Below are 15,431 nucleotides of genomic sequence, written 5' to 3' on the forward strand. Positions count from 1 at the left end.
GATGGTTTTATAAGTGTCTGACAGTTCCTCTTCACACACTCGCCCTTTCTTCGCCTGATACCACACAAGACATGCCTCTTCCCCCTTCCATCATGACTGTAAGTTTCCTGAAGCCTCCCCAGCCATGCAGAACTGTGAGTCAATTAAACCTCTTTTCTTTATAAATTACCCAATCTTGGGCAGTTCTTTATACCAGTGTGAGAATGAACTAATACAGATGATATCACATTGTGGTTTTGATTTGCATTTCCCTGATGAGTAGTGATATGACACACTTTTACAAATTAAACAATGATTACCAGTGATTATTATTTACTTTTCCACTGTCTCAACAAGCCATATGTTAGCAATGTATACTTTTTTTTTTCCTGCCAGAGGAGACATGTCACACTTATCAAGCTCTAAATTTTGGGTTCTAACTTTTGTTTCTTGAAAACTTGAGCACTGGCCCAGATAATGACTTCTAATACTTCTTCCATTCTCCAGCTGTCAGACTGTCTTCTGTTCCTTGATTTCTATTCCTTTTTTTGAAGATTTCTCACCTTGATGGAGATGAAAGCACCGTTGTTCTCTGTTAACTACAAACATTATTGCGCCTTTCTCGAGTATTGTGTTTGATACTTTGTTCTTGATGCTCCAGTTCCAAATATTCCTTAGATGAAGGCCAAATGAACTCCTTTGACTTCCATCATGATATAATCACTTTGGACTCCAGTCTTTCTTCTGCCTCTCTCATACGCGGTATTGGGACAAGTTCATCTCTACCCTCTTAACTCTATATTTCACATCTAAAGATAAATTTACACAAACATATTGACTAACACCATTGGAATCTCCCTAAAAACTCAGCTGAATCTTCTGAGGCCTCTTTCATCCATCGCTACTTAGGTCACTCTTCAATTTCTCAGGATGGTTGTTTCAAATCTTTCCCAGGCCTTCTTCCTTGCCTGGTAGGTATACTTAAATGTACACACTAACCCTTACCTAGTCAAGCTACTAAGCTAAGACTAGAACCCAGGTCTGTGCTGACTTCCAAGCACAGGAGCTTTTCATTTATTTGTCTCTCTTTATCTCAGCCTCACTCGTTCACACTTTCAAAATGCGATCTTACTTCCTACTCAGAAGAGAAGCCATAAACGTAACATTTAACACATTTGATCACTCCTTCCTCCTGAAAACGTGTTCTTCTTTTGGGTCCCAGGACATCCTAATCTCTTCATCTTCCTCCTCTTCAGTGGTTGTCTTTCCGCAGTCTCATTTGCTGCTTCCTTTGCTCTGAAACCCTTATTCTGTAAGCATCTCCAGGACTCAGTCCTCAGAATTCTCTTCACTGGGTACACTCTTCCTTTGGTAAACTCATTCAGACTATGGCTCTAATACAGGATATATGCTGACAGACTTCCAAATTTATACCTCAAATCTAGACTTCTTTCCTAAACTTAAAAAATGCCTATTTGGCATGGATGTATAATCAGTGACATAAACTGGAGTATCTAACAAAAATAGCAAATTTGACATATCTAAAACCTAATTCCAAATCTCCCCTTGAAAAGTTTCTCCTGCAGTCAACTTCAATGTAGTGAATGGCAATACCATGCTTTCAGTTGCTTAGACCAAACATCTTAACAATGATCTCCAACTCCTTTTTTTTCCCACTCATACTCTACATTCAATCTGTCAAGCAATCCTGTTGGTTCTTCATCAAAATACACCCAAGGTCTCATTATCATCACTACCTCCATTGCTACTACCCTAGTACAAGCCACTATCATCAATTATCTAGATTACTGCTGCAATTAGCAAACTATCTGCTTCCAATCCACAGTCTATTGTCAACACTGCAGCCAAAGTGATACTGAAAACTAGACTGTGTAACTACACGGCATAAAAATTTCCAAAGGCTTCCCACTTCATTCACAGTAAAAGCCAATATCCTTACAAACATCCTACACCATTCTTGTTCCACACCATGCTAGACTCCTAGCTATTCAAAGAATGTGTTAGAATGTGCTAAGTAAGCTCCCTCCTCAGGGCCTTCTCAATTGCTATTTCCCCTTGCTGGAACATTCTTCCTTCAAAATATCTAAAGGACTTGCTTCCTGATCTCCTTCAAATGCTTGCTGAAATTTCACCTTTCAGTGAGGCCTTCCATAGTCATGCTATTTAAAACTGCATTAAGTCCCCAAAATCGCTACCATCATTATTCCTTATTTCCCTACTCCACTTTTCTCTGTAAGTATGGATTAGTTTATTACATACTCTATGGTTTATTTATTATGTGTATTATTTATTCTCTAATTGCTGACTTGAATAAAATTTCCCAAAGGAGAGGAGTTTGTCAGTTTTATTCGTTCAAATGGTCCCAGTGCCTAGAGCAGTACCTAGCAAATAATTAGGTGTTCGACATATATTTATTGAAATAATGAGTGAATGAACTAGTAAATAACGAATAACCTTGGTGCATGCTGCTGAAGAATAGAAGCTACACGAACTACATGAAATAACTCTAGAACATAAATCACTGAAATCATACTCCCAATAGAACAATGACAGTTGATGAAGGTATAGCAGATCAAACCATTATCTGCTTCCTACAATAAACCACAATCGTTGATGCAATGTTTAATACAGAGGTTCAAAAGAATATGAAAGAAGAGAACAAAGTAACTGGCTGATCACGTTAAGAGATTTCAGTTAAGATCCACCAGTAAGAACTTAAGAGTCCAAGGAAAAAGAGATGCCAGTAATCAAGCAAACGCATTGGGTTATTTTAATGGACTTACGTGCAGAAAAAGGGTAACACATCAGGCCTGGGTTGCCCAAACTCTACACATTCCCAAAAAAGTCAGTCTTCAGAACTGGCGCCGTTGGCCAACTCCTGGGAAATGAATTCTGAGCCTCTGAAATATTCTGCCTGGTCAGAGTATTTTTGTATGCTGGAGATCTTGGGCCACATGGTACCAGTTTGACTAGATAGTTTATGCAAACAACAGGATGCATGATTAATACTTCGTGCCTGATTTTGCTCTGAGAGGTTGGAATCTGAGCATCTCAGGGCAGTCATGAAGGTACTGCTTGCCTATGTGACTGACTTCCAATAAAAACCCTGGACACCAAGGCTCAGGTAAGCTTCTTTAGTTGACAACACTTCACTACTGGGAGAATTAAAATTAACCATCACAGATGCACTTATGTGTCAACTTGACTGGATTAAGGAATACCTAGAGAACTGGTAAAGCATTACTAATAGCTGTTTCTGTGTTTCCAGAGGAGACTGGAATGTGAATTGATGGACTGAGTGAGAAATATTCACCCACAATGTGAGCAGACACCATCCAATCAACTAAGAGCCCAAATAGGACCCAAAAAAGCAAAGAAAAGGCACTCTCCTGGAATGGGGACACTCCTCTTCTCCTGTCCTTGGACATCAGAACTCTAGGCTCTCTGACATTTGGACTCCAGGCTTTATACCAGCAACTCCCTAGTTTCCCACCAAAACCCAGGTTCCTGGCCCTTAGCCTCAGACTAAGAATTACACCATCAGCTTCCCAGGGAACTTGGACGGAGATACGTTACCAGCATCCCAAGGTCTCCAGCTTCCAGATGGCCTGTCTTGGGAATTTTCAACCTCCATAATCACATGAGCCAATTTCCCAGTGAATTCTCTCTCATATATGTATATGTATCCGATTGTGTCTGTCTCTCTGGAGATCCTTGATTTCACCACATCATCCATGTGACTCCACTGGAAGAAGATACCTTAAAGCTTGCACTTGGTTTCTCCAGGATTTTGCTCTATGTGGTTTTCCCTTTGCTGATTTTAATCTGTACTTTTCACTATCATAAACAATAACCATGAGTCTTTTCTGAGTCTTGTGAGTCATGACTCACTGAGCCTGAGAGTGGTCTTAGGGACAGCTGACACAGTTGCCATCATAAGTAGGACTCATTAAAGCATGGCAAAAACATTGTTTCAAAAAAGGAAGAATGACAGGGCAGACAATGACAAACTCTGATGCCTAAATGGGTATACAGTCACCAATGGCATGAGACGGCAGCTGTACTGTGCTGTTACTACATATAGAAGTTGTCAATGGAATTTAGAAATGACAGACCAAAATCTCAAGGACTTAGATCACTGGATACATAAAGAAATGCAAAATGATGAGAAACAAGCTAAATACACAATCCACTGGTAACGTGTACTTTTTTCCCCACATGTAAGATTTTTATTCCAATTTGATTTGCATTTCAAAGGAAATTATAAAATGTATCCACTTTTTTTAAGACAAAAATTTAATTATAAAACATGATAAACTTCCAGGTTAAAATTAGGCTAACTGCTTGGAATAACAAACTCTTAAATCACCATTTTCCACCTCCACACCAAGAATAACCATTTAATCAACCATACTGTAACAGCAGGATAGCACTGAGACTTGAGTAAAGAGGAAAACTAAAGAGCTCTTCCAGCTCCAAATCATGAACATTTTTATGCCTTCTTATAGTGGTGAACGGCAACCACATCATCACCAAAAGTAAGTCATAACCATTTCACCATACTTAATTTCTCTTATAAAATATGTTTCTTTGTCATCCCATTTCTGTATGTGAATGAGTTTGTCTCTGTCCAGACTAACAACAAACTTGCAGTTTCTGTCATCTGTAGTGGTTTCATCAAACTCTTCTCCCAGATGGAAACTAACCTCTGTGTTCTTGAACATACTTTGAATCCTGATCACCACCTTTTGTCTTCTTCTTGACTGATAATCACTCTTGGTTTGTCCACATTTCCCACCTGCCTAGTGACAAAGCCCATCCCTAGAGCCTTCATGTACTCATCAAAGTTCTGTCGGTCAGCTTCCAGGTATTACAGAAAGCCTCCTCCACCCTTGCCCTTTCCCCACTTTAGAGACAGAAGTGAGGAGCTGCTGGTCTTATTGCCACTGCAGTTTGTGTTTTTTTTTTTTTTTTTTTTTTTTTGAGAGGGAGTCTCGCTGTGTCTCCCAGGCTGGAGTACAGTGGCATGATCTCAGATCACTGCAACCTCTGCCTCCTGGGTTCCAGTGATTCTCCTGCCTCAGCCCCTCAAGTAGCTGGGATTACAGACGCATGCCACCAAGCCAAGCTAATTTTCTGTATTTTTAGTGGAGACAGGGTTTCACCATGTTGGTCAGGCTGGTCTCAAACTCCTGGCCTCAAGTGATCTGCCCGACTTGGCCTCCCAACGTACTGGGATTACCAATGTGAGCCACTGCGCCTGGCCCAGTCTGCTGTATTTTAAAACAGCTAAAATGAAAGTAAGAGAGAGTGTTAAGGAAATCCTGATGCTCAAAAAGCTTGGATTTTGGTTAGCTTGAGCTATGGCTGTTAGCCTCCAGGATAAACCCAATGGAAAATTATGCTGAAAAAAACAGACAGTATATCTATGGCCTTTGACCACCAGGAACATTGTCCAAATGGTGGGTGACAAAACCAAGACAGTACTGGAAGCAGGGGTTATGTGTGAAGGAGTTATCTTGCCTTGTGAACTGGTATTCATCGGGTTCCTGAAAAACATTTAAGAAAATAGATTGTGAGAGTGACTAACTTGGGAGCAGTATCTTTGATTCTGAATGTTGCAGAATGAAGAAGTCTGCTTGGGGTTGATGCAGGAACCTTATTACTGAACAATCATGGATTGTTGTACATGATCCAAACACACAATAGATTGTTCCTAAAGGGACAGCTAGTCTGGTGGACTGGGTAAAAGCCACTGTAAAATTTGTTTACCCTGAAAAGGGAAATGGTCCTTCCCCTCCTTTAAATGCCAAGTGGCACTCCTCCATAGATGACATAGCTGGTAAGCTGCATATGCAAACCATGCTGGATTAACTTCATGGTCATCAGGATGTTTGTTCATCCTTAATATGCCCTTTAAATCATGGTAAATACTGTGACTGAAGGGGCCCCGCTAGGCAGGCATCTGATATAACTGCTGCAAAATCTATCAATGGTCCAAGAAATGTGTCAGATTTGTTGTCTCAGCTTCTTAATATGGGTCTTACAGATGCTAAGAAAATAAGACTGAATCACAAGTGAATGGGTAACACAAAACAGATAGTCAACGAAGTCCCAAGCAGGATGAAGTTTTAAACGGTTACTAAGAGATGGGATGAATAAAATGGACACTGATGTTAACACAAAGGTCTTAATGCTGCACTATCAGAAGTTAGGTTTACCAATGGGAGCGCCTCTTAGTCCCCCAACACTGAAGGGCCCTAAACAAACACTCTATGCACCCTAATTTCAAAGAATGCACCAAGCTGGGAAGCAAAAATGACAATGAAGAACCTCAGTTCAAATCATCAGAGGTGATGGGCTACCAAATTAATCAGGATGAGGACTGACACAGAACCAGGGCTTTCTTTTAACTAATCTCCTAGTAGGGACTGAAGGCCATATGCACACCTGTAGGTACAATAGAAGGTAAAAAAGAAACCTTCCAGGGGTTCCTGACATAGAATTCAGTGCCTCTGATTCCAAAACCTATTGGTAAAATCCTAGCAGAGGCAATAACTAGAAAGACAGGATATGAGGATGAAATGGCTGATAGGATTAAATTAAAATTTGGATGAAAATTAGTATGTTTGAATGAATCTTGGAAGTACTTGCATCCACATTACCTGAATATGTTTTGGGGAAGGATATGATGTTTGACCAGGGAAAACTTCAGCTACTATACTGCAGAAAGCTTGTTAGTTTTCCCTTCAGTCAGAACAGGCTAAATGAGAATCTGTGCAACTTCCCCAGCTCACATAGGTTGTTAATTTGAAACAGTATCATGGTGGACCAAAAGAGATTTAGCACATGAATTAATGACATGTTCGACACTGGAGTGCTGTTACCAACAAGTTCTGTGTCGTGCATGAAAAAGGTGAATTATTCATGAAAACTCACAGCAGATAATCAAGACTTGAATAATATAGTATCATCTACAGCATCAGCAGTCTCTGACATGGTTTCAGAAGTTCTCAAAATAAAACAATCTAAAAGAGACATACTCAGCCAGACATAGTGGCTCACACCTGTAATCCCAGCACTTTGGGAGGCCAAGGCAGGAGGATCACTTGAGTCCAGGAGTGTAAGACTAGCCTGGACAACATAGTGAGACCCTGTTTCAATTAAAAAAAAAAAAAGAGAGAGAGACATACTGATTGATCTTGAAAATACTTTTTTCTTGGTCCCAATCTCAGGAAAAAAACAACTGCACTTTGCCTTCTAGTGGGAATGATCCCAATTTATACTTACTGCAGTGCTGCAGGTTTATCTGCATTTATCAGCTTACCATTATAATTTGTTTCGAAGGGATTCTGACTTGATACAGGTCCAGAATACAATAATATACTACACTGATGACATTATGACGGTATCAGAAACCTAAGAACAAGCTAGGGCTAACTTGAAAATAGTGGTGGCTCACAGGAATACCACAGGCTGGAGGATAAATCCAGCAAATACCCCAGGGTCTAACCAAACTGTGAAATTCTTACGAATAACCTGGGCAGGAACCACCCATAACATTCTACAGGCAACTAAAATTAAATTGCTCTTATTACATAACCATGAAAGTAAACAAGCAGCATTCACTGCAGCTGGTTTGCTTGAGTTTTGCGAAGAAAAATTCTGTATCTGGGGACTAGTGCTAAATCCAATCCGTAAAACTACCTGAAAGGACACATATGAATGGAAACCTAAACAACAGCAGGCTATTATCTAAGTTGCAGTGGCTCAATTAATGCCTTTGGGTCCTTACGATATACACTCAGATATGATTTTAGAAGTATCTGCAACTCAGACTGGAGCTTATGGCAAAAAGCCCATGAATGCTGTCCAGCAGTAACCACTGGGACCATGGGCCAGACAAGAAAGTATAGAACACATCATTAGAGAGACGATTATTGGTTTGCTCCCGGGCATTAACTGCAACTGTCTTTATGACTGAAGGACATAACATAATCCTAAAACCTAAAATATCCATGTCTTGGGTAATGTCAGAGAAACACTCTAACGAGTACCAATAACAAAATGAAAATGGCTTAACGGGAATGTGCTGAGGAATGCAAGAAGACACTTACCATATTCAATAGAAGAAAACCTTTTTTTTTTTGAGACAGGGTCTCACTTTGTGTCAACCAGGCTGAATACAGTGGGGGCAATCACAACTCACTGCAGCCTTGACCTCCCAGGCTCAAGCAATCCCGCATCTCAGCCAAATGAGTAGCTGGTATCACCAGAGGCATGCCACCACACCTGGCTAATTTTTATTTTTTGTAGAGATGGGAGTCTCACTATGTTGCCCAGGCTGAGTCTGAGTCTGAACTCCTGGACTCATGCGATTCTCCTGCCTTGGCCTCCCAAAGTGTTGAGACTGCAGCCATGAGTCATCACGCTTGGCCTCCTCTTTTCTTCCAGATCAACTTTGGAACCATCTGTAAAGCTACCAGATCCTATTGCCACATCCTACTGTTCAAATGCTAGTGTCTTACAAAGAGCTCTCACTGACCACCAAAAAGTGGCTTGTTTTACAGATGATAGCAGTTCAAAGGTAATCAGCCAGCATCCTGTTTGGAAGGCTGTCACACTATAACTGACTGATGTGAAACTGATGAAAGAACAACAAATCAGCTCAAAGGGCTCAATTGTACATTGTTCTCCTTGCAATGATGGATGAACTAAACAAACATAACCTTCATGTGTGGATGTACACCCATGAATGGGCTGTGGCCATTTGCCTGGCCATATGGTCAGGCTGACAGGCAGTGAAAAACTAGACTATTAAATGGATGTGCCAGGCATGGTGGCTCACGCCTGTAATCCCAGCACTTTGGGAGGCCGAGGCAGGTGGATCACCTGAGGTCAGGAGTTTGAGACCAGCCTGACCAACATGGTGAAACCCCGCCTCTACTAAATACAAAAAGTTAGCCAGGTGTGGTGGTGAATGCCTGTAATCTCAGCTACTTGGGAGGCTGAGGCAGGAGAATCTCTTGCACCTGGGAGGCAGAGGTTGCAGTGAGCTGAGTTTGCACCATTGCATTCCAGCCTGGGCAACAAGAGCAAAACTCCATCTCAAAAATAAATAAGTAAACAAAATAAATAATAAATGGATGGGTGATTAATGAGGCATGGCTCTATGAGAATCATTATGGGAATTTAAGGGGTGAATTAAAGTAGGACATGTTGATGGTCATCAAAAGAACTTCTTTCAGGATCAGGAGATGACTGGAACCAGCAAGTGGATGTCCCAGCATGCTTGTTTGAGGTGGCTATCTGGGTCCCCAAAATAAGTAGATATGGGAGATATTGGCCGGGCACAGTGGCTCATGCCTGTAATCCCAGCACTTTGGGAGGCCAAGGCGGGTGGATCATGAGGTCAGGAGACCGAGACCATCCTGGCTAACATGGTGAAACCCCGTCTCTACTAAAAGTACAAAAAATTAGCCAGGCGTGGTGGTGGGCACCTGTAGTCCCAGCTACTCAGGAGGCTGAGGCAGGAGAATGGCGTGAACCCAGGAGGCGGGGCTTGCAGTGAGCCGAGATCGCGCCACTGCACTCCAGCCTGGGCGACTGAGTGAGACTTTGTCTCCAAAAATAAAAATAAAAAAGATATGGGAGATATGCAGCAATGCAGACAGAGATGGGCTGGCCATTGATATATTCCTCTTGTACCCTCTGATGCACAAAATTCCAGAAAGAGCCATCCTGTCTGCCAGAAAGGGAGAAAGAGACTGCAGATGACTATGGCATATATTCCCCAGAAAAAAGTCCCCCCACTCCCATATATAGTTGGCAAATACACTACACTGAGCTACTGCCACTATCCCCAGGAAGCTATAAATGGTAATTCTTGGAAATAGACGTTTACAGTGGATTGGGCTTTGCATACCCAATGGTAGATACAAAAGCTCAAAATACCGTAAGATGACTGGAACAGAAGGTACTGCACCCCCACCAAGTTACATGTCTTCAGACCAAAGAATGTACTTTATAGCCCATACGCCATACTTTACAGCCAATATCCCCAGAAGTCTCAACCAGTGCAGTATCAAGTCAAAGTCCAAAATCTCATTTAAATATCATCAGCTCAAAAGTCCCAAGTGTTATAACCCAAATCAGGAATGGGTGAGACTCTATGCATAATCCACCCTGGGGCAAAATTCCTCTAAATCTGTGGACCTCTCACACTAGAAAACAAGTTATCTGCTTCCAAAATACAATGGTAGAAAAGGCCTAGGACAGATATTCCCACTCAGAAAGGGAGAAATTGGAAGAAATAAAAACATCACTGATTCCAAGCAAGTTCTAAACCCAGCAAGGGAAATTCGATTTCAAGGTCTGTAACTAATCCTCAGTAATTTGTATTTCTGTCCTCTAGGCCCATGGTGGCTCCATCAACCTCTGCCTTTGCAACCCTGGTGGCTCCATCACCCTGTCTCTGGCCTCCAATTCATTCTTGCTTTTTTTTAAAAAAAAAATTATAACATGCTTTCAGCTGACATCCATCAACTATACCATTTCTTTTACACTGACAGGGTTTATAACATTTTCAGTCTGTTCTGTAACTATACTTAAGTCTTCGGTGCTTTGTCTATTGATAAATCCTAAAAACTGAACGCCAATTTGGTGTTTCCAATGGTGTAAGTAAATGAATATTATTCATGGGACAATCAAATAGTATGGTCAGACCTGTAATGAAGGAAAGGTTACTCTACATCAATAGACCTGGGCTTCTCAAGAACCAATGTTTCATGTCTCAACCAAATAGCCTCTTTTTTTTTTTTCCATACAGGCATACGTCAGGTTTTGTTCCAGACCACCACAACAAAAGTATTGCAATAAAACGAGTCACACTAACTTTGTGGTGTCCCAGTGCATATAAGTTATGTTTACACTGCACTATACTGTAGTCTATTAAGTGTGTAACAGCACTATGTCTAAAGAAATGTATATACCTTAATTTAAAAATACTTGACTGCCAAAAAAGGCTAAGGGTCATCTGAGCCCTCAGCAAGTTGTTATCTTTTTGCTGGCAGAAGGTCTTCTCTTGACGTTGATGGCTGCTGAGTGATCAGGGTGGCAGTTGCCAAAGGTGAGAGTGGGTGTGGCAATTTCTTTCTTTTTTTTGAGACGAAGTCTTGCTCTGGCACCCAGGCTGGAGTGCAGTGGCACGATCTTGGTATTCAAGCAATTCTCATGCCTCAGCCTCCCAAGTAGCTGGGATTACAGGCACCTGCCATCACACCCAACTAATTTTTGTATTTTTAGTAGAGACAAGGTTTCACCATATTGGCCAGGCTGGTCTTGAACCCCTGACCTCAAGCGATCTGCCTGCTTTGGCCTCCCAAAGTGCTGGGATTACAGACATGAGCCACCATGCCCAGCGTGGCAATTTCTTAAAATGAGAAAACAATGAAGTTTCCCATATTGACTTTCTCTTCCAAGAAAGGCTTTCTCTTTCGCATGCCATGCTGCTTATCCACAGCACAACTTTCTTCACAATCGGAGTCAATCCTTTCACAACCTGCCACTGCTTTATCAACTAAGTTTATGTAATTTTCTAAATCCTTTGCTGTTATTTCAGCAATGTTCATGGCATCTTCTCAAAGAGTAGATCCTATCTCAAGAAACCAGTTTCTTTGCTCATCCATAAGAAGCAAATCCTCATTTGTTCATGTTTCATCATGGGCCTGATAAAATTTAGTCCTATCTTCAGGCTCCACTGCTAATTCTAGTTCTCTTGCTATTTCTACCACCTCTGCAGTTATTTCCTCCACTGGAGTCTTGAACCCCTCAAACTCATCCATGAAGATTGGAATCAACTTCTTACACACTCCTATTAATGTTGATATTCTGACCTCCTTCCATGAACATTCATGAAGACTGAATGTTTTTCAAGGCATCTAGAATGGTGAATCTTTCCCAAAAGGTTTTCAATTAAGTTTCCTTGGATCTATCAGCAGAGGAATTACTATCTATGGCAGTAATTACTGTCTATTACAAAATGTATTTCTTAAATAATAAGACTTGAAAGTTGAAATAATGGGCTGCAGAATGGACGTTGATAATGAGCTGCAGAACTGACGCTGGGTTAGCAGGCATGAAAACAACATTCATCTCCTTGTATATCTCCATCAGAGCTTTTGTATATCTGGTGCATTGTCAATGAGCAGTAATATTTAAAAAGTAATCTTTTTTTCTGAGGAGGTCTCCACAGCGGGCCTAAAATATTCAGTAAAACATACTGTAAGCAGATGTGCTTGTCATCCAAGCTTTGTTGCTTTACTGATAAGAGAACAGGCAGTGTAGAGTTACCATAATTCTTAAGGGCCCTAGGATTTTTGAAATGGTAAAGGAGCAATGGCTTCAACTTAAAGTCACCAACTGCATAGCCACTACTGAGAGAGTCAATCTGCCCTTGGAAGCTTTAGAGCCAGGCAATGACTTCTCCTTTCTAAGGAAGTCCTAAGTTCAACTACATGGAAAATCTGTGGTTTCGTGTAGTCATCTTCACCAATTATTTAGCTAGATATCTGGATAACTTGCTGCAGCTTCTGTGTCAGCACTTGTGGTTTCACATTGCACTTTTAGGCTATAGAGATGGTGTCTTTCCTTAAACCTCACACGCCAACCTTTCCTAGCTTCCAACTGTTCTTCTGCAGCTTCCTTACTTCTCTCACCCTTCACAGAATTGGGAGAATTAAGGCCTTGCTCTGGATTAGGCTTTGGCTTAAGGGAATGTTGCAGCTGGTTTGAACTTCTATCAAGACCACTCGAACTTTTTCCATATTAGCAATGAGTCTGTTTTGCTTGCTTATCATCAAATACAAGGGCACCCTAATAAGATTATCGAAGATTTCTCATCAGAAACATTGAAGGCCAGAAGGCAATTGGTTGATACATTCAAAGTGCTGAAGGAAAAAAACTAAAGCAAGAATCCAGCAAAACTATCTTTCAAAAAATGAGGGAGGTATCAAGACATTTCTAGGTAAACAGAAACTGAGGGAGTTCATTAGCACTGGACCTGTCATACAAGAAAAGCTATAGTGAGTTATATTAAACCCTTCAGGTTTAAATATAAGGACATTAGACAGTCACTTAAAGTCAGATGAAGAATTAAAGATCTGGTAAAGCTAAATACACAAAAAAATATAAAAGCTAGTATTACTGTAAGTTTGTGTTGTAATACCACTTTTTGCTTTCTACATGATTAAAGAGACTCATACATTAAAAAATTAGTAGTCTTGTTTTTGGACACACAATGCATAAAGATGCAATTTAAAGACACCAACAATTGAAAGGAGTAAGGACAGAATTGTAAAGAAGTGGAGTTTTTGAGGGTTATTAAAGTTAAGGTGGTATAAATTTAAATTACAGTACTATAACTTCAGGATATTAAATATAACCTATACAAAGAAAATAGCTATAGAATATACACAACAGGAAATGACAAGAGAATTAAAATGTTTCACTAAAAAATCAATTAAACACAAAAGAAGGCATTTATGTAGAAAAGGAGGGACAAAAAGCAATGAGGCATATAGAAAATAAATAGCAAAAGGACCGAAGTCAGTCCTTATCACGACTCACTTTAAACATAAATGGACTAAACTCTCCAATCAAAAGAAAGAGATTGGGAAAGTCGATTAAACAAACAATAAGAATGATCCAATTCCATGCTGTCTCCAAAAGCCACAAACTGGGTAAAAGTGAAAGAGAAAAAATTATTACATGAAAATATAGCAGTTCCCCTTATTAGTGGAGGATATGTTTTGAGACCCTGGTATTTGCCTAAAACCATGGATAGTACCAAACTCTATAAAGTCATTCCTTGATATCCATGGGGGATTGGTTTCAAAATCCCCCTGCAGATAACAAAATCCACAAATGCTCACTTCCCTAGTATCAAATAGCATAGTATTTGCATATAATCTATGCACATCTTCCCATATACTTTAAATCATCTCTAGATTAGTTATCATATCAGATATAATGTAAATGTTATGTAAATAGCTGTTACAATACATTGGTTTTTTAATTTTTAATATTTTTATTCTTGTATTATTATTTTTGAGTATTTTAAATCCACATTGGTTGAATCCATGGATATGGAATACAGAGAGCCAACTGCATATACTGTGTTTTTTTCCTACACATACTACCTAAGATAAAGTTTAATTTGTAAATTAGGCACATCCTTTATAAATGGATATTAAAAGTAGATTAACAGCTACTATTAAAAGTAAATTAACAACAATAATAAAATAGAAAACTTATAACAATATATTGTGATACAAGTTATTGTGATGCATATGGTCTCTCTCTCAAAATATCTTATTTTACTATACTCATCTATATTTAGGCTGTGGTTGATTGGGGGTAACTCAAACCATGAAAAGCAAAACTGCAGCTAAAGGGGGTACTGCCATAGTAACCAAAAGAGAAAAGGGGTGGCTATATTAATATCAGACAAAATAGACTTTAAATGAAAAGGCCAGAAAACACCAAAAAAAGATATTATTAATAAAAGTTAATACAGCAAGATATAACAATAATAAACACTTACATACCTAATAACAAGACCATCAAAATATATGAGGCAAAAATTGAAAGAACTGCAGAAAGCAATGACCATTTTACAATAATAGTTGGAGATTTCAATACCCTACACTCTCAATGATGAATACAACAACCAGAAAGAAAGAAGTAAGGCAACGGAAGACTTCGACAACTCAATAAAGCAACTAAATCTAAGACATATACACAAAATGCTCTATTAAATATACACAAAATACTCTACCTAACAACAGAATCTACAGTCTTTTCAAGTGCATAGGGGACGTTCTCCAGGATAGATCATATGTTGGATTACAAATAAAGTCTCAATAAACTTTAAAAGACAAATACAAAGTATCTTCTCCAACTACAACATGAAGTTAGAATATAAAGAAAACAAGAAAATTCCCAAATTTGTAGAAATTAAACAACAGACACAATCAATGACAAAGGAAATTAGAAATACTTTGAGATGAATGAAAACAAAAATACGACAGACTAAAATTTATGGGATGCCACAAAAACAGTGCTAAGGGAGAAATTTAAAGCCATAAATGCTTATACTAAATAAGAGAGATTGCAAATCAACAATCTAACTTTATAACTTAAGGAACTAGGAAAAAAATAAATTAACCCAAAGCAAGCAGTAGGAAAAAAAAATAAAGATTAAAGCAAAGACAGATAAAACAAAGAAAAGTCAACAAAGCCAAAAGTTGGTTCTTTGAAAAGATTAACAAAATTGATAAACCCTTAGCTTAACTAAGAATAAATGTATAAGGAATGAGGGAAATAGAAAATCACCATTAGAACACAACAGTAATAATTATTATGGGCAAAAT

General features: G+C 39.3%; 1 protein-coding gene and 1 pseudogene across 12 annotated transcripts in view, besides 1 other annotated feature; both read right to left on the reverse strand.

Annotated features, from left to right (window-relative positions):
• Window positions 1-15,431, reverse strand: part of AKT3 (AKT serine/threonine kinase 3) — a 362,847-nt gene that overhangs the window by 131,934 nt on the left and 215,482 nt on the right. The window lies entirely within an intron of this gene.
• Window positions 1,841-2,135: a silencer, noted in NCBI's record as "tiled region #1428; HepG2 Repressive non-DNase unmatched - State 23:Low". NCBI's record gives its function as "represses a minimal TATA promoter and a strong SV40 promoter by Sharpr-MPRA in HepG2 cells {active_cell/tissue: HepG2}" and the evidence as "EXISTENCE:reporter gene assay evidence [ECO:0000049][PMID:27701403]".
• On the reverse strand, window positions 4,216-4,952 carry FABP7P1 (fatty acid binding protein 7 pseudogene 1; annotated as a pseudogene).

Source organism: Homo sapiens, chromosome 1 (assembly GCF_000001405.40).
Source record: "Homo sapiens chromosome 1, GRCh38.p14 Primary Assembly".
NCBI classification, from domain to species: Eukaryota; Metazoa; Chordata; class Mammalia; order Primates; family Hominidae; genus Homo; species Homo sapiens.